Source organism: Homo sapiens, chromosome 2 (assembly GCF_000001405.40).
Source record: "Homo sapiens chromosome 2, GRCh38.p14 Primary Assembly".
In the NCBI taxonomy this organism is placed as follows: domain Eukaryota; kingdom Metazoa; phylum Chordata; class Mammalia; order Primates; family Hominidae; genus Homo; species Homo sapiens.
This window is the reverse complement of record NC_000002.12, coordinates 25,321,763-25,339,646: the sequence shown is the minus strand read 5'-3', so window position 1 is coordinate 25,339,646 and position 17,884 is coordinate 25,321,763. Positions and strand designations below refer to the sequence as shown.

Here is a 17,884-nt window from a genome sequence, read left to right as displayed (position 1 = left end):
ACCGAGGCCCTGCTTGGGCTGTGACAGGTGGCTCTGTCAAGGTGGGAGTCTGTGTGTGCACATGTGCTGGCTCCAGGCGAGGGACCAGGCTGGCCTGTGCAGCAGCTCTGGCACCTGCCTGCCTCCCTGGTGGGTCCCCCTCCTCTGTGCAGCTCCTCCCCAGATAAGCAGCTGCGGATTCAGGCCGACCAAACTTCCCTCGTTACCCCACCCAGGCACCAGTGCCTTCCATAGGAGACTGACCCTAAGAAAGGTGAATTCCTTCTAGACTCAAGGAGTGGACTGGTCCACAGGGCTGCCCTCTGAGTCCTTCCTGGAGAAGCCTAGGAAAGGACGCCAGCAGCCATCTGTCAGGGTGTCTGCGGACAGGATTCCTCTGTGGGGTGGGGGTTGGACTAGAGCCGGAAGGTCCATTCCAGCTTTGACATTCTATGGCTCTGATTCTAGTGGTGGAATTTCAGGCCTAGCAATGGGGACAGGGTGGTCTGTTTTTCGGCACATGGCAGTAATAGGGGAAGGCTTCCAAGGAGAAGGAGATATGAGAGAGATCAGGGCGCCCAGCGAGTTGGGCCTTGGGAAGGAGAGGCAGTGTGAGGAGGGTCCCTGCAAGAGACGGGTTGGTCACGTCCGACTCTGCAGAGGGTGTAAAAAGTACAGCCTCCTTTAAGCCTCGGCACGTGTGTATCCTGTAGGTTTGTGTATAAATCCCTGTGTGTGGATAATTTCTGAGGTTTCCTTTTCAAGTCCAATTCACAGTAAGCTCCTCAGTCCCTTATGGATGTTTTACTATCGCTTTCACACCCACCTCTGCCAGTGGTTCTCAAAAAGCTAGGAAGACAGGACAAACGGTAAAATCCTTGTCCAGGGTCACCGGCAGGAAGAAGTGGAGCCAGGCCTGCACTCGGGGGAAGATGCCCCATGCTATACCTCTTACCTGGGCTGCTGCATGTGTCTGTCCCCGCTCTCAGTTTGTGATCTCCAGGAAACAGGGGCCTTGCCTCCCTGGGTCCCCATTGGACAAGCGGTGAGGCCTCCGAGGGTGTCTGCTGAGCGAGGGGAGCGCACTGCCCTCCAGTCCTCTCCCCGAGGCAGCGAGGCAGGTTAGTGCTGGGCTCCCTTCCCCCTGCTGCTGTGCGCCGCTGCCCAGCGGCCACTGCCTACTTACAGGCCAGCTCCTCAGGGTCACACCTCCCTGAAAGACCCAAGTTCTTTCCCAGCAAGAGCCAGACTCCCCCAAGGCTTCTCTTTTTGGGATCCAGGTAGAAAGAGGACTCTAATGGGTGAGTTAAAACAGACCACCCTCTCCCCATCTTTGGGCCCGAAATGTCAGCATTAGAACCCAAACCTTAGAATTGCAGTCTGAAAGAGGAGTTTAAGCTCTGAGAGCTCTTAGTGCTGGGTACGGGACTGTTTGTGGGAGGTGGTGCCCAGTTCTTCCCAGGGTTGTCCATGCTACCCAGAGCCTGAGGCCTGGAGGGCCATTCACGTGCCAGTCACATGCCTCTCCCAGGGTACTTCCTGCTGCCTCCAACTTGCTGGCCTGGGGTCCTGGACTTGGTGCTCGTATCCTCCCCACCCCGTGCCCCACTGGGAGTTGAGTGTGTCTCTGGCCTCCAGCAGGTAGGGCCAGAGCATCTACCCCAATGCCATTCCCCATGCTGCGGCCCTCGGGGAATAGCTTCTACTTTTGTTTGAATATTAGTATGTGAGCAGAGAGCCCGTCAGAAGCCCACCTGGCCTGAGGCTGGGTTTCTGCAGGGACTTTGCTGTTCCTGAGCAGGGCTTTAATGGTCTACTAAAGGTGCCAGATCCCTTTCCACTTTAATTTTGAGGGCTCATTTTCAATCATTTCTCTCTGACGATTTTTCCCTAAGAACATGACCAAATCTGAGATCCATGAAGTGTCAGCCTGAGATTTATGTCTGTATCCGAGCCTGCCTCCACTTGGCTAAGTGTGTGGGCAAGACGAGGTTCAGTGCACATGTGTCTGTGCATGATGTGTGTGTACGTGGTGTGCCGCCACCTGTGGATGGGTAGGACTTGCTTCCACATGAGCCAGTGTCAAGGCAGCTTGAGGCCCTCGAGTCACAGGGAGCTGCACTCTGACACCTCCCAGCGGCAGGAACTTGGGCAACAACTCGATTCCCTGGGCCTCAGTTTCCTCACCTGTAACATGGGAGTGTGCGTGGATTCTGCTTACAGGTGGTTGTGAGGATGGAGTGAGATCATGTGCGTTACAGCCTTAGAGGAGCGGGAGCCCTCCTGTTAGCTGTGTCTGTTTTCATCATTTGGGTGGCTCACGTGGACTAGCACTGCAGGAAGTGCTCTAAGAAGCCTCGTCCACCTTCCTGTGTCTTTTGCAGAATCTTGGTCAGATGAGGAAAGTGCCGATTCTGATTAAAAATCCTGGGAGGTGGGAGGCTTCTCAGCGACACTTAGCAATCTGTTGAGTTGAACAAATCTCGTGTCAACAGGTTGTTTTGCTTCCACCTGAAATCCCTCCCGCTGTAGTTTCAGCTCGTTATTCTCATCCTGTCTTGAGTGCAGCAGCACTTTCCCACCGTATTCGCTTCCATTTTCCAGAGATGTGCTGAGCATTTCCTGTAAGCCATGCCCTGTGCTGGCTTTGAGGGGACACGGTGTGTTTAGGATGCGCCCAGCTAACGAAGAACTGCAGAGTGGGACTGGGGTCACTGGAGAGGGAGAAATAAAGTGCTCAAAGGAGAGTGAGGTCACAACCAACTAAGGTCATCAGGGAAGGCTTCTTGAAGGAGGTGGCATCTCAGAAGCGCCCCAGAGCACAGAAGTGGGGCTTCAGGGGCAGGACATCATTGTGGGTGGCTGTAGTGCCCGGGAGGTGGACTGGGGCCTGGGTTGTGCTGGAGGCCAGGCTGAGGCCCTGCCTTGGTTTGGGGAGGAGATCCCTGCACTCCGGAACTCCTCTGTGGCCCACGGAGGATCGCTCTGAACTGCCTCAGCGTGGCGGCCAGTGGGGGTAGGGGTGGAGAGAGGACAGCAGGGAGGGAGGGGAAGGGGCCAAATGAGCTCATTTGGTGTCGGATCCTGATTCTTTCTATTCCATAGACCAGAGCTTAAGAGCTCAGACTTGGAGAGCAACAGAACAGGGTTTAAATTACACTGACCCCAGGGGGTTGTGACGATTAAGGGGGAGGCCAGGGTCAGGTCTGGTCTGCGAGCGAGTGATAGCAGTCATGGTTGAGGATGTGGCAGGTGGAGAAGGGTCCCTTTTCTGGCCTCCCAGAGGTCTCCATGTCCCCCCTTGCCCACTCCATCAGGCTGAGGCGCCCCAGCATCCAGAACATTCCTGCAAGGGGCTGCCAGTGCCAGGGAAATGGGGGTGAAGACGTCAGGTTCCTGTCTCTGCAGCCTGACCCTGTCCCCCAACACACACGCTGGGCAGAACCGAGCCACCAACCCAGAGGGGAGGTGCCCTGCAGACGGCCCAGGCCCCCAGGCATGAGTGCAGGTGCCTGGCAGCCCCCTGCAAGAACAGCTGGTGGGCAGGGCCTTCTGGGCCAAATCTCCCTTGCTGATCACATCACAGGCCACCAACCTGTCTGGAGGACAGCAAGGGTGCTTGGTGGGCAGTGGAGGTGGGGGTAAGGGAGGTGCAGACGCCTGGGGCTTTCCTAGCTAAATCCCAGTATGGAGTGGTTTGTTTTTTTTTTTCAGCAGCAGCTCTATGTTGCCTACTCCTGTCCTACTGTGGTCCTCTCTGACCCTTAAAGGCTGCCCAGCCTTATTTAGATATATGACCAGGTTCCTATTTTCTCTTTCCTGTGGTCACGGCCCTGCTCACCACCATCCCTATTGATCTTTCCTCTCTGCTTCTGTTTCAAATGTCAAGGTCATTTTTAATTCTGAGCCAGTTATTAGCTGCCCCGTCTGAGTGCACAGAGGGGACGGAGGACCATCTCTTATAGCCAGTAACCGGAGAGCTGGAACTTGGGTCTCCTGACTCCTAGTCTAATGCTCTTCTTACTATAATGAAAGGGGAGGGGGGCTCAGTGCAGATGTTCGAGATCTGATAGATCAGCTGGGTCATGGGTTCCAGTGATCCTTCCTTGAAAAGGTAAAAAGATGCTTAGAGATTATGGGGTGTGGGTTAGATTTGCATCTCACTAAGCTGTTGAGTGTGGGCTGTGTCCTGGGGAATACTTGGGAACGGCCATGGTCTGGGGGCAGGAGGCCTTCGGAGTGTCCCTCCCCCGCCACTCCCTGGAGGACCCCGGGAGACACAGGCGAGTTCGCCCCTGCCCCTGCCAAGCCAGTGGGATTCCCCAGCACCCCAGTGAGCAGAACCTGTTTGGAAAGAGGCTTCTGGAAGGCCTGCACGATTACTTGTATAGGTTCCCGAAGTGATAAATAAATGCATGGGTAAAGGGGAATCCACTTAGATTCCCTAAAAGCCTTTGAAACAAGGTGGTAGGCGAGTCTGTTCTGATGTGTTAGATCCCCATGCAGTAGTGTTGTGGTTAAAAAAAAAAAGTTCATAGTGTAATCTCAGTTTTGTGAAATTCTTTAAAATCGATACAAATATACACATGTTTAGGTTTGCACATGCATGGAAAAGTTGTTCTGGAAAGATACACACAAACCTGTCAACAAGTTTTTGCTTTTTAACTTTGTACACTTTCGTTTTCTTTGAAAAAATGTAAATGAACTTGAGTTACTTTCTTAATGACAACAACAAAAATAAAACTACACTTTTTAAAAGCCTGTGGATGAGAAAGTAGAAAAAAGAATTAAGTCACCTAAGGCTGAGGGATGGACTCTTTTTTATAATGGATAAGAAACTGGTTTAGAGACTGACAGCAAGGGGTAAGCTTACTCAGGTACGTGTCTTTTCCGGAAAGGTTGCAGGGAGAAATATCGCAGATATTAAGGCCTCTGAGCAAAGGCCTAGGCTGGTAGGGATTAGGTGAGAGCAGAAAATAGGCCGCTGACTGCATGCACCCTGGCCCACGCCAGGGACAGGGGACAAAGTTAGCTTTATAGGATGGCGACTTGAAACTCATTTCTGACCCAAAGTGGAGAACAAATCACTGAGGATCTTCCCCCAAAAGCATCAGTCTGATGGGCTGTTGTGGCCCAAATGGTTCCTGGGGAACTGGAGGTATAACTGGGGCCCGGCCCGGGTATGGAGCTCAGGTGACCCAGCCCTGGCATAGTGAGAGCCTCTTGGGAGGCCACACCCAAGGGAGACAAAGTGGGGCTTCAGGAGGCCCCACGAAGGGGTAGAAGGGGTGTCTAGGAACTTGCTTGGCACGTGGGTTCAACTCTGATCTAGGGGTCCCTGAGCAGGTGGTGATCACCCAGATGATGGGGTGGAGAGGTGAGGTGGGGGCAAATACAAGTTCCTCTGTCTGCAGTCGTCTTGCTACCCCAGGAAGCTCAGGGCTGGTTGCTTAGCAACAGCACTTACCACCCTCTTCCACCTTACCCTCCCGCACCCCACCCATGGGTGCCTCTTGGGGCTTCCCTTCCCCCGAGGCTGCCCCTGTTCAATAGGACATGGGAAGGGTCTGTGCACTTTTTTGACCCTGCCCCTGGAATAAGGCAGGAACAGACATAAAAGGACCTATGACTTGGAGGCAAGCACAGAACTGGCCCCTCTACAAACCAGCTGTTTAATCCAAGGCTGGTAGGGGACAGATGTGCAGGGCAAAAAAGGCGTTCGGGAGTCAGGCCGACCTGGAGGACTGTCTCAGCCCCATTTGTGCTCAGTTGCTGCTGGCCCCAAACCACCTGGAGCTGCAGGTTTTTCATCTGTAAATCGGGGATAAGAATAGCAGTCTCATCTTACAGGGGTTGCCTGAATGACGTGCAATATTTTGTGAAACAGCTAGCACTATGCCTGGCACAGAGAAGGTGCTCAGGAGGCATGAGCTGCTTTTCTTTACGTGGGGGTTGTTCCAGGGCTGCCTGGTTAGGGTGACCCCCACAAAGCCCTGCTGCTCTGTAAGGCCCTGCTGCTCTGTAAGACCCTGCAAGTGGCCAGGTGCAGTGGCTCACGCCTGTAATCCCAGCGCTTTGGGAGGCCGAGGCGGGTGGATCATCTGAGGTGAGGAGTTCGAGACCAGCCTGGCCAACATGGTGAAACCACCTCTCTACTAAAAATACAAAAATTTAGCTGGGTGTGATGGTGCACGCCTGTAATCCCAGCTACTCCGGAGGCTGAGGCAGGAGAATCACTTGAACCCGGGAGGTGGAGGTTGCAGTGAGCCGAGATCGCGCCACTGCACTCCAGCCTGGGCGACAGAGTGAGACTTCGTCTCAAAAGAAAAAAAAAAAAAAGACCTGCAAGTGTGGCCTGTCCTCCCCATGGCCCCTCACGGTGAGGGGAAGAGATAATCAAGTTGAGAATGACCCCCAAGCCCATGGTGGACTCTGGGCTGGGAGTCAGGGGCCACAGGGGAGTGGCAGGGATAGAGAAAGATGTCTCTGTCCTCCTTAGCTTCCGTTATCTGACCCAGGTCCCTTTTTCCAGCTGCCAATAAGTTGTCCCTTTTTCTCTTAGCCTTTCTGCACCTCCACTTCTTCCTGTGAAGCCAGGATTTGCCTGTACCTTTTTTGATCTCTTCAGAGTCCCCTGTCCATGTGGGGACCCAGTAGCCTGCTCAAGGCCTGGGCCCTCTTTCCCTCCCTGCCCACTGGTCTCTTTGGAGCTAAGCGGAGAGTGGCCTTTGCTGGGTTCTGGCTCTGCCCCACGGCCTGGAGGCAGGGGAGGGTCTAGACCACAGCCCGGCCTGGCAGCTGGCACGCAGCAAGGGCTCCTAATGGTTTTATTACCAGCAACAATGTGGTGCTTGTTGCCATCCACGCACAGGCTGGTGGTTCCCAGCCCAACTGGTGGTGGCCTGAGGGCCCTGCCTGGTACTGGAAGCTCAGCTGGGAAGCCCAGTGGGGCTGGGCAGTCAGTCACCTCTGCGTTTTCTTCTGTCAACACCCTGCCAGCAGCCTGGAATCAGAGGGAGCCAGGGCACGGCATGGCGAGATGCTGGCCCCCGAGTTGGCAGGCCTGGCAGCACTTGAGTTTTCTTTCCAGAGGTCCCTGCCTCAGATCCACAAATGATGTTCATCCATTCATCTAAGAGACCTACTGTGTGCCAGACACAGGCTGCATAGATGAAGGGGGTCACACTCATCTCAATGACCCTGCAGCTTAGGTGGGGTCTGGCAGGGCGGAAGGACCCCTGGCACACCATGTCCAGGGATTACCAGGGCTCAGAGAAGGAAGTCGGATTCAGGGGGAGAGAAGATCTGGAAGGGCTTTCTAAAGGAGGTGACGCTTGAGCTGAGTCTCGAAGCGGAGGGAGCAGTTAGCTAGGTGGACGACGGCACTTTCTGGCCCCATGTGGCTGCAGTGTAGGGAACGATGGGATACGAAGCCAGGGGCCTGGGCCGGGGGACATGGAAGGCGGGATGTTATGAACGGACGTTGGGCTTGGGATTTATATTTGAGAAGGATCATTCTAGGGCATCGAGGACGAGAGCTCGGGCAATAGGGTTTAGGGGCAGGGAGCCCGGGTGGAAGGCTGGCACAGAAGTCCGGGGCAGCAATGTGGGCCTGGACAGGGTGTGCGTGGTGTGACATTTAGGAAGTGCAGTCAGTAGGAACAGGCGGGATAAAAGCAATGAGGGGAGTTGGGGTGGCTGTCTGGTTTCTAGCTCAGCCAACTGTGTGGGTGGGGATGCCCTTCATGGAGGGGGCATGGGTTGGGGGGAGTCGGAGAGAGCAGGAGGTGCCTCCCACATGGAGCTGGGTTGTAGCTGGGGCTTGAGGGCGGGTGGGATTTCCCCAGGGGGAGGCTGAGCCAGGCCAGGCTTGCAGAAGGAGGCTGGAGCCTGAGTCATAAGGCCTGGAGGCGGGGTGCCTTGTGCGATGGATGAGAAAGGCAGGTGCATTTCAGTCTGTAACTGGTACGACCCCTGCAGATGTTTGAAGGAAGATTTTGAGGAAGGTGCTCGCACCCTTGCATTGGGAATGCTGATGAGTTAGCGCCTCTACTTCACAGTGATTTCCCCAAAAGATGAGCTGCAAGGCCTAGACCCTGGCCCTCCACCCAGGACCTGCGGCGAGCATCATCACCGTCTGAGAATCTTTGGGTGGGCTGGAAGTTGATGTCAAGCTGTCCAGCCTTTCCGTCACTCTCCATTCAGAGGCAGGTCTGCGGAGAGAGATAGGAGGGACAAGCTGGGGACAGCATTTTTGGAAAGCAAACAGAAAAGAAGCAAAAACTGTTCCTCTAAAATAGAAAGGAGGCTTATGTGTGTTATGTGAAGGATAATGTGGAAGGCTATTTCCAAAGAATTTCTCAAAAAATGACGTGAGCCATGTCAGCATCATTGAATTTAGATAGAGGCCAGGAGCAGTGTGGCATCGTGCTGGGGCCACCAGGCTGGGGACTGGACAGATGATGGTTTCACCTCACCCCTGCCACCTCCTTGCTGCGTGTCATTGGAAGATCACTCAACCTTTCTTAGGCTCAGTTTTACCATCTGTAAAATGGACATAACTTCACAGGCTGGTGTTGTTTGTTTTGAGCATTGCTTCTTGGACTAAACCTGGATATTTTTTCCTTCCCTCCCTCGCTTCTGCACTTCCTCTGGTTCTTTGCCTCCCAAGAAGCCTGTTTCCTCCTGTTCCCTCCAAAACTCCAAGTTTTGAGTTCCCCCTTCCTGGGAAGGTCCATTCGTCATGTTCTATTGACTCTCTTGTTCCCAATTATTCCCTGCAAACCTGGTTCACCCAGTGTATTTGAAGAGCATCTACTGAGCTAAATGGGAGTTATTGGGGGTCAGTTCCTGTTTTCTTTTTAATAAGGGGAGGGAGGGTCTGTGCAGAGCTGTCCGGGAGAGCAGAGGGCATGGGGGACAGGGGGGATGTTGCAGGACCCAGTGGGACCACAGCTGGGACCTTGCCCTGTAGCTGGCTCAGTGTGCCAGGGGATAGGGGCACAGAGCCCTGGTGGGTCTGGGAGATGAGCTTGGGAAGGACTTGGCCTGGACATGGGCTAGGCTGCCCTGCTTTCCGAGCCAGACCTCAGGAGATGGCAGAGAGGGCCGCTTCCTCTGTGAGGGCCGTACATGATGGCCCTTGGGCTGTATGGTGGCCTTGTGACATGCAGCCACACCCCTGGGGAGACCTTTGAAGCATCTCTGCATTCTGGAGGATCTGCTGGGAAGATGGCTTCGCAGCGGGGCTCTTGTTGATGCTGCCAAGAAGGCCGGGTGGGAGTCGGGCTGTCTCTGGCTGGGGGTGGGGTGGGGGCTGCGGTCCATCCGAGTGTGGAAATCCACGTTTCTCTGGTTTGTGCAGACCTGTGCAAGCAGCCATGCTGCAGGACTGGCCCCCTGGAAGTGGGGCATACATGAACTCAGGGTGTGGCGTTGTAATCAAATGAAATGTACAGCATAATTAATCTGGCATACCCTTAATGATATGCATAATTGTGCTGCATGGTAATTAGGTGTAAATGGTAAGCAGTTCACATAAATGTTTTTGTAATTGGTATTAATTTTGCAGAGGCAAACCAAGTTTATGTGGTTTTTCTCTTCTTGCTCTGTTAGTTTTCTAGTACAGGCATTTCCAAGCTTTTGGAGGAATTCTATTGCAAATGTTTGTTTATAGGGCAATGTTTTGTGTTTTCTCTCAGAACAATGTTATGAATGGTTATGAGGTTCCCAAGCTGGTTTCCAAATGCCTCTTTGGCCCATACAGTAGGTGAAATGTGCAACGCGTGTGCCTGTGTCGGAAGGCCCGCCCAGCATCCTCTGGCTCCAGGTGCCCCAGCGTGTGCAGCATGAGGGGGGCTGTGTGCGTGTGTGAACCTGTGCGCCTGGGTCATCTCTGCATTTGTCTAGGTATATCTCTGTGTGTGCATCTATGTGTGTTTGTATCTGTGTGTCTGTGTGTGTGTGTGTGTGTGTGTGTGTGTGTGTGTGTGTGGGGTCTGCATGACTGTGAGAGACTCCTGAGGCCACAGTGGCAGGTAGACATTCTCTGGTAAATACATTCCCCATTCTAGTGGCACGGGGCCTGGGCTGGAGACTTAGGGGCATCAGCTGGGAGGGGGAGCCTGGCACAGCAGCCGTTCCTAGGAGTGAGCACAAGCCACTCTGAAGTGTGGTCTGAAGCCAGAGTCTAGGTTTCCTAAGAACATATGGCTTGCCTTTCTTTCTGATCAAGCACATAATAATTTTTAAATGATCATTTATTGAGTACCTGCCACGTGCCAGGCCCTATGTTAAACACTTGACTCAGATTCCCTCCTATCTTAAAATAGACTTATGAAATAGGGACTCTTTCTCACCCCGCTTTACAACTTGGGAAACTGAGGCCCGAATCTCTCAGTGACAGAGCCAGGGTTTGAGGCAGGGACTGCTGGAGGCAGGGCCCATGGTTCTGAGATGTGCTGCTCAGAACCCTGGGCTCTTCTCCCTCCCTCGGCCCCCTCCACAAATGGTTTGTTTTTGTTGGGACAGACGATGAGGAGAAAGGCGGCCCTGTGGGAAATCTGAGAGCAGCGAGCTCCCTTCCTGCTGAATTGGTTGGGGTGGTGGGGGACGAGCTCCAACAGCCGCTCCCAAGCCCTGAAGACCCTTTGGGGGACCTCCTGGTTTTGACCCAAGAGGGAGCTGGTTTAGGAAGTGGGGTTGGGGGACTGTGGCCATGGACGGTGTGGGGAGAGGGTGGTCACAGGCCAGACAAGGACTCAGCCCCCCTGATTCCTGTGGTTCACTGATAGCCTAGGCCCTCACCAACCCCTTCACCTTGGGGATCTGGGGCAGGTGAGCCTGCAGACCCACAGCAGGTGTATGTTCTGCCCTCGGAGCTCCTGCAAACAGCCTTTCCACTGACGCAGTGCCTTGGGGGCTCTGCCAAGCGACCCCTAGAATGGGGATTGTGGGGGGTCGCTCTAGGCACCGCAGCACTGTGCTGGGGATGTTGCAGCTGCCTGGGAGTGACTTCACACAGTCCTCTCTGCCTCCAGGGTCACCCGGAACGGGGTTGCGGGGGACAAGCTGTGGGCGGGGGGGACGGGCAGCAAGATACAACGCATGAACTCTGACCTCGTCTCTTTGAGAAATCAGACACATCTATATACGCATGGAACACTCAATGACCCCTGGGTGGGTGGTCGAGGAGAAGGGGACGGTGTTTTGGGGGAGGAGAGATGTTGGGTTGAAGGACTGGGAGAGAGGAGCTGAGTGGGCCCTGTGGGAGAGGGTGGGAGCCAGGGGTGTCATTCCGGGACAGCAGCCGGGCCTGGAATGATGCAGCTGGGAGAGGTGGGGGCACGGCCAGAGCAGTGGGCGGAGGCTGCGTTGTAGCCAGCCCTGGTGAGACCAGGCCAGAGCGTATATTTTACCACGTGTGCAAATCTTTGGCATCACCGGATTTTTAAAAATAATAGCTTTAAGATATAATTCACATTCCATACAGTTCACCCATATAAGTGTACAGTTCGATGGTTTTAGTACATTCACAATCAACTTTTTAAAATTGTCATGAGGTGTCATAGGTTTTCATAGAGGGAGCCATGTGTGGGCAATCCTTGCTGATAGGGTGGGGTGGGAGGTAGAGATGCCAGAGGCAGGTGGACCCGCTCCAGGGCATCTACCAGGTTATTGTGCCACAGACACAAGAGGTACAAAGGGCCTGGAGGGAATAGGGGGACGAGAGAAGCCCAAGGACCAGGTACCTGCTGGATGTGAGGACCCAGGGGAAAGGTGGGACCTGAGTTTTCTCCAGGGTTTGGGACTTAGGCAGCTGAAGGGAGGGGAATGTTACTTCCACATAGAGGGAAAAACCAGAAAATAGAGCCGGCTCTGAAAGAAGCATGTTCTGGAAGAGTAGGATTTTAGGGACTGCAAGTCATCCAGTTGGGATGAAAATAAATAGAGCTGGAGCCCCTGGCAGTAGGAGGCGTATGTTAACTTATGCCCAGGTGTCTTAGAGGAAGAGCATTTAGAGAGAAGCTGAAGGTAGAACATGACCTTTGAGGAGCACCCACCGTGCAGAAGTGGGATCAAGACTCCCGGACAGCCCCAGAGACAAAGCTGCAGAATCTGAGGCTGGAGACCCAGAAGCAAGGAGCCAGATGGAGTCATGGCTGGGAGAGAACACACAGAAGGCAGTTGCTGGTGAGCTCCAGAAGCAGGGGTCTCCTTTCACTCCAGGGCCCGGCTCCACAATGGCACTCAAGAAATGGCTGTTGAGTGAGTGCTTGAAGCAGGGAGTGATTAGCTGGCCAGGATGTTGAATTGAGCTCAAGGGCCATGAGGATGGAAAAAAGCCCTTTGGGGCCGCGGGTGACTGTATCAGTCAGGGTCCATTCAGAAGACAGAAACCACATGGTGATTGGAACAAGGAAAGTTTCACATAACGAATTATTAACTCTAATTGGATTGGAATAATGAGGAATTGGCTAGTAAGAAGTAAAAATAACTCCAAAGAATACAAAAATAATAGATATGAGAACAGCCCCTACCTCTAGGGTTGCCACAGAGTGCCCAAGGAAGAGGCCCCGCAGGGTTGAGATCCACACCTTGATGGAGAGGGTGTGGCGATGGCTCCCTGGATGGCAACGTCTCTGTAATGCCATGTTGGCAGAACTTGCTGGAAATCCACCCTCTGGAATTTACTGGAAATCCATCTTTTTGGGTCCCAAGGAAAGTTGTTTGTGGGAGGTATCTTGCTGGAAGCACACCGCTGCTACGTTTTCCCAGGGGAGTGCTGGGAGAAGCTCCTGGCTGTTGGGTACTCCTGACTGACGTGTTGCTGGAGCCAGGTGCTGGAGAAGCTGTCTGCATTGCAACAGCCTGGCACTCCTGCAGGAGCTGGGCACTGGAAAGCTGCATGCTGGAGAAGCTGCAGCAGCACAGGAGCTGGGTGCTGGGAAGCTTCATATCTGGCAAGACCCTGATGCTGGGAAGCGCCCATGCAGCAAGATCTGGCTGCTAGAGAAGTTGTATACAATGCAGGAACCCAACAAGAGCACACTGGGTCTAGAAAGGAAACCCACCTCCTCCTTCAATGCCTCTTCAGTGCCCTCCACAGTTGTGCCAGCTGACAAAGGAAAAGTAGTTAAAGGGCCCAGCTCCATCTTCACAGCACAGGCAATGATGGGCGAATAAACTGATAACTGGCACAGTTTACCCCTTTGGCTGCACAGCTTCCATTTGCACCTTTCTACAACATCTGAACTCCCATACAAAAACAAACAACTGGATGTCTACCTATCAAGATAGTTATCCTTCTTATGAAATTCTCACCCTTTTGCCCAGAGAGCCCCAACCATCATTCTACCAATCCCTGGCTACAATAACTTCTCAAAGTCAGTCACAGTCTCACTGAATATTCTGTTACCTAAAGACTACATTATAAAGCTAACTGTCAACAACTTGTATAGAAAAGAATGGGAAGGAGAAAAAAAGAAGAAAATGGTTACCATATTGCAAACACACCACACACACACACACACACACACACACACACACACACACACACATATATATCAAGTTAATAGAAAATGTGCAAAACCACTAGAGGCCTGGTTTCTGCATTTGTTCACAAGGCTACACTTTACACTTGCTACCTGGCTTCATTGTCTTCTTATCCCATTCTGTGTTTCCTCCACACTCAGCCAGAGCCTTAGCAGGTCATGCTTCTTTTACTTGGTGGAGTAACCCAAACCCTCATTCCCAAAGGACCTGAATCCTTAGTTATCCCGCTTTTGTTGTTGTTACCATAACTTTCCATTCAGCCTTCCTTTGGGCATGGACGTTCTTAAGAGGTGCCTGAGAGAATTCGCTGGGTTCCAGACACAGTCTTGCTTGGCTCTGTGGCTGATCAGCAATCCAGTTTTCTCCTTGGTAACTAGGATCAATCACTCCAGACAGTGGCATAACTCCTTTTTTCCACTGTCAGTTCAGTGGCGTAAGGAGTTCGAGAAAGCCAAGTGGGTGTGTGTGTCTTCTCTCCCAGGGAAAGCATTATAATATGTCCCTGGTGGGAGCACTCTCCCCCGAGGACGAGGTCAGCATCCCCAGAAGGTTTTAGAGTTGTGGGGTGGGGAAACAGGGCCACGCGCAGGGGACTAAGTGATAGAGGCTCTGGAGCTGGCAGCTGTGGACCATGCTGTAGAGAAGGTTGGAAAAGTAGAGAAACATGCAGATGACCGTGGGCCGCTTCCGCTGTGGATGATAAAATCAGACCCATGCTGGTCACTGCCAGACCCCATCCAGGACCATGTGTCTGATTCTCACATGGACTCTGTGCCACCCTGTGCCCCTGACTCCCAGGCCGTGGGAAGCCCATCTGACCCACAGCACGTGTGACCCCTAGACAGGGCTTCTCCTGGCTTGCAGCACTTGGAAATCGGTGCTGCCTTACGGAAGTCTGTGTTGGCTCATTTTGGCTCCTGAGAACAACTTCAGCTCCTTAACAGCATCTATTTTAGGTATAAATCCCCCCCCCGCTCACTTTTGGGGCTGTGTCATGGCAACCATTAGTGTGAGCAAAGCAGTCTGACTCAGACTCCCATGTGGCCGCCGTAGTGGCAGCAGGTTTGGTGTGATCATAAGTGCTCCTGCTGGTGGTGCCAGTGCTGGTGGTGCCAGTGCTGGTGGTGCCATGGCCTCGAGAGTGGTGTGAGAGCCACAAGCCGTCTTATTGTGACTCTAGAGCCAGATAAATCAGCTTTGCAGAGGGCAGGACTGCTGGCCTGTCACCAGTGGCTTTTGGTATTCTATGGACAGCTGGTAGTTTGGGTGCAAGTAATGTTTCTGAAAGTCAGGGCAATGGAATGGTGATGGCCATCTCACTGGAAAATGGCACCAAGACCCCCCTCCCTCTCCCTCCTCCTTATCCATCCCCAGTCTTATGACCAAGAGAGGTTGTGACAGGAGGGGGAAGAGTTGACAGATAGACATCTCCGTCTAGGAGGTCTCCTCCACTTTCTCCTGGCCCCTAGCTGACCCCTACCCTAGCAGATGATTGGGCAGGGGGTGGGGGTGGGGCACAAGATACTCTGCTGCCTTCTGTCACCCACATTTGCACCTCCTCCTAAGCTCAAATAGGAAATTTAGCCATGGGACTGTTATCTGTGGGCCAGGGTCACCCCAGAGGCACAAACATCGATCATGGCGCTGGCTCTGAGATGTGTGTTTAGCATGCTCATTCATGACCAAGAACTGCCACATTTGCGAAGGGTTCTGAGTTACACGGACCTGGATTTATAATCCTGCCCTGGGGCTTTCTAGCTGTGCTACCCTAGAGAGGTATTAAACCTCTTTAAGCCTCCATGTCTTCTATAAAATGGGGATAACAATAGGACCTGCTTCATAGGATTGTTTTGAGGATTGAGGATAGTGCATGTTCCTTAGCACAGTGCTTGGCACATGGTAGGTGCTCAGGAAATAGCTGCATGAATGAATGAGTGAATGACCACTGCATTGGGCAGGGCATTGAATACTGTGATTAGCATGCTCCAGTGCCCTCCTTCCCCGCTCCCACTGCAGACAAGCCTGACCAGGAGAGAGAGACTGACTGGAAACTTTGTTTTCTGGCCAGTCCGTGCCCAAAGTTAATATAGATCTGCAGCAGTCACATGCTGATTGTGAGAGAGGGAGTGGAGAGCTGTGAGCTTCTGAGTGGGGTGGACCTGGACTGTGCCTGGCTCCACCCCTTACCCACTGTGTGACCTTGGGCAGTTTTATTAATCTCTCCATACCTCATTATTCTCATCTGGAAAATGGGGATAAAAATAGTACCCACTTCAAAGGGTTGGGGTGAGGTGTGAGGATTAATGAGATGTTGACATTGTAAAGCTCTGCTCACGGGGCCTGGCATGTCGGAGGAGCTTAAGTACAAGCTCCTGCCTGAGCGAAGGCCACTTAGAGGAACTCCAGGGATTTCAAGAAAGGAGAGAAATCTGCGGGCTGGTTGAATCTGAGAGTAATCATCGTTAAGATTTATTGAGTACTTTCTCTGTGCCAGGCGCTCTTGGAAGCATTTTTAGGGCATTCCATTTTAATTTTCACAGCAGCGCTGTGAGGTGGAAAGTTCTTTCTCCCACTCGACAGCTGAGAAAACTGAGGCACAGTTTCGCCTCAGGCCACACAGCTGGTAAGAAATAAGGCCAGTGTTGGAAACCCCGCAGTTGGCCTCCCAGGGAGCCCTGGAGGGGACTGAGATTAGCCCTTAGGTCAGGAGGGTGTCAACCACAAGTCATAGACTCATACCAAAGTAGTGAAAGCTCACAGTCCCCGGAAGTTCAGAGACGTCCCTGCCTCCAGGAACAGCAAGACCAGGGGCCCAGACAGTGACTACAACGCTTTATCCCTCTGTCTTCATCTCTGAGCTCTTCGTTCTCAGGCAGGCTCACCCACATGGCGGGAAGACAGCAGCTGGCAGCCCCTGACTCACATCGACCATGTTAGCATCCTTCCATCGCATCGATAAAAAGGTTCCAGGGAGGCCTCTGATTGGCTCTGCCTGGTCACGTGCTCACCACTTGCCTGGGGTGAGGGTTGAGGTCAGCACAGGCACAACGAAAACCTTTTGACAAGCGTTTCCCACCGGGAAGGAGGGGAAGGCATCTAGGTAGAGCAGAACAACCAGAGTCCACTAGAGGAAAAGGAGAATGCAAGCAGAGGGAGGGAGAAGGACCTGCTACAGAAATGGTCAGATATTTTTCAGCCATTCAGACAGAGAACTTGAGACGGAGAAGAAGGGGCCCTTAGGGTGAGAATATTGGGATCGTGTTTGGTGGAGTGAGGATTTAGGTTTGTGGGCCGTGACAGTTTTGGTTTTGGAAGAGGATAATTATGTGCAAGCCCTTGTTGAGGAGAGACTGTGGGGTGGCAGGGGGGCCAGCAGTCCTCAATCTGAAGATGGAGAGGAGGCTTGGGTGGTCATCTCGGGGGTGCTGATGAGGCTGGGGTTGGTGAGGAAGTGGGGGCGGCAGTGGGGACAGTGTGGTGCAGGGGAGCAGTCCTGAGGCTTCAGGAGATGGTGGAGATGTAGCTCTTTGGTCTGAGAAGGGGCTGAGTGAGCGGGGGTTGGGGTTACGGATGCAGGCAGCACTGACTTGCGCTGCCCATGGGCTGGACGCAGCGGGAATGATGTGTTTGGAGGATTAAACATTTCGTGAGGGTGGGGGGTGGAGAGGGAGGTACCAGTGTTGTAGCTGGTGATGGAACTCTGTGTGGGTGTGAGGAGCTGATGATGGTTATTCTGTGGGACGTGATGATTTCATAGAACAACAGAGGTGGAAAGGCCTCAGCTACACTCTTATTTATAGAGAAGGAAATGGAGGCCAAACGCAACCGATGGCTGCAGTTGGGACGTAAGCCCTTTCTCCCATCCCCACTCTCTCTGTTTAAAAATTCATTTTTATTTACTCACAGTAGTACATGCATATAATTTAAGAAGTCGAATAGTACTAAAACCTCCTAACAAAATGCAGTGATTCCTTGCCTACTCCTACCCTTATCCTCTTCTCAGAGGCAACCGCTTTCGATTCTCTTGGCTGTTTCTTCCAGCAATTTTCATCTCATATTTCTGAGTAAAGTGCATATTTTTGATTCATCTATTTAGACATTTTCCATTGATTTCCTATTTAGTAGATCCTCTTACATGTCCAACCTTTCTGCTCTTCAGCCATCCTCCTTAAATATTGACAGTACTCTTCTTATATTTTTTCAAAAAATTGTTTGTTGTTGATTGTTTTGAGACAGGATCTCGATCTTTGCCCAGGCTGGAGTGTGGTGGCACAATCACAGCTCCCTGCAGCCTCGACCTCCTGGGCTCGAGCGATCCTCCCACATCAGCCTCTCGAGTAGCTGGGACTAC

The 17,884-nt window shown here is 52.8% G+C and overlaps 1 protein-coding gene and 1 non-coding gene across 8 annotated transcripts in view, besides 4 other annotated features; both read left to right on the top strand.

Moving 5' to 3' along the window:
* DNMT3A (DNA methyltransferase 3 alpha) overlaps positions 1 to 17,884 on the top strand; it is a 114,717-nt gene that overhangs the window by 2,944 nt on the left and 93,889 nt on the right. The window lies entirely within an intron of this gene.
* Positions 4,702 to 5,373: an enhancer, noted in NCBI's record as "H3K4me1 hESC enhancer chr2:25557143-25557814 (GRCh37/hg19 assembly coordinates)". NCBI's record gives its function as "activates a minimal SCP1, AML or CMV promoter by ChIP-STARR-seq in naive H9 embryonic stem cells {active_cell/tissue: H9 hESC(naive)}" and the evidence as "EXISTENCE:reporter gene assay evidence [ECO:0000049][PMID:30033119]".
* Positions 8,621 to 9,121: an enhancer, noted in NCBI's record as "H3K4me1 hESC enhancer chr2:25553395-25553895 (GRCh37/hg19 assembly coordinates)". NCBI's record gives its function as "activates a minimal SCP1, AML or CMV promoter by ChIP-STARR-seq in primed H9 embryonic stem cells {active_cell/tissue: H9 hESC(primed)}" and the evidence as "EXISTENCE:reporter gene assay evidence [ECO:0000049][PMID:30033119]".
* Positions 9,122 to 9,622: an enhancer, noted in NCBI's record as "H3K4me1 hESC enhancer chr2:25552894-25553394 (GRCh37/hg19 assembly coordinates)". NCBI's record gives its function as "activates a minimal SCP1, AML or CMV promoter by ChIP-STARR-seq in primed H9 embryonic stem cells {active_cell/tissue: H9 hESC(primed)}" and the evidence as "EXISTENCE:reporter gene assay evidence [ECO:0000049][PMID:30033119]".
* On the top strand, positions 10,926 to 11,007 carry MIR1301 (microRNA 1301). Its single transcript, NR_031570.1, has one exon. It is a non-coding gene; the product is annotated as a microRNA 1301 (primary transcript).
* Positions 16,728 to 17,555: an enhancer, noted in NCBI's record as "H3K4me1 hESC enhancer chr2:25544961-25545788 (GRCh37/hg19 assembly coordinates)". NCBI's record gives its function as "activates a minimal SCP1, AML or CMV promoter by ChIP-STARR-seq in naive and primed H9 embryonic stem cells {active_cell/tissue: H9 hESC(naive and primed)}" and the evidence as "EXISTENCE:reporter gene assay evidence [ECO:0000049][PMID:30033119]".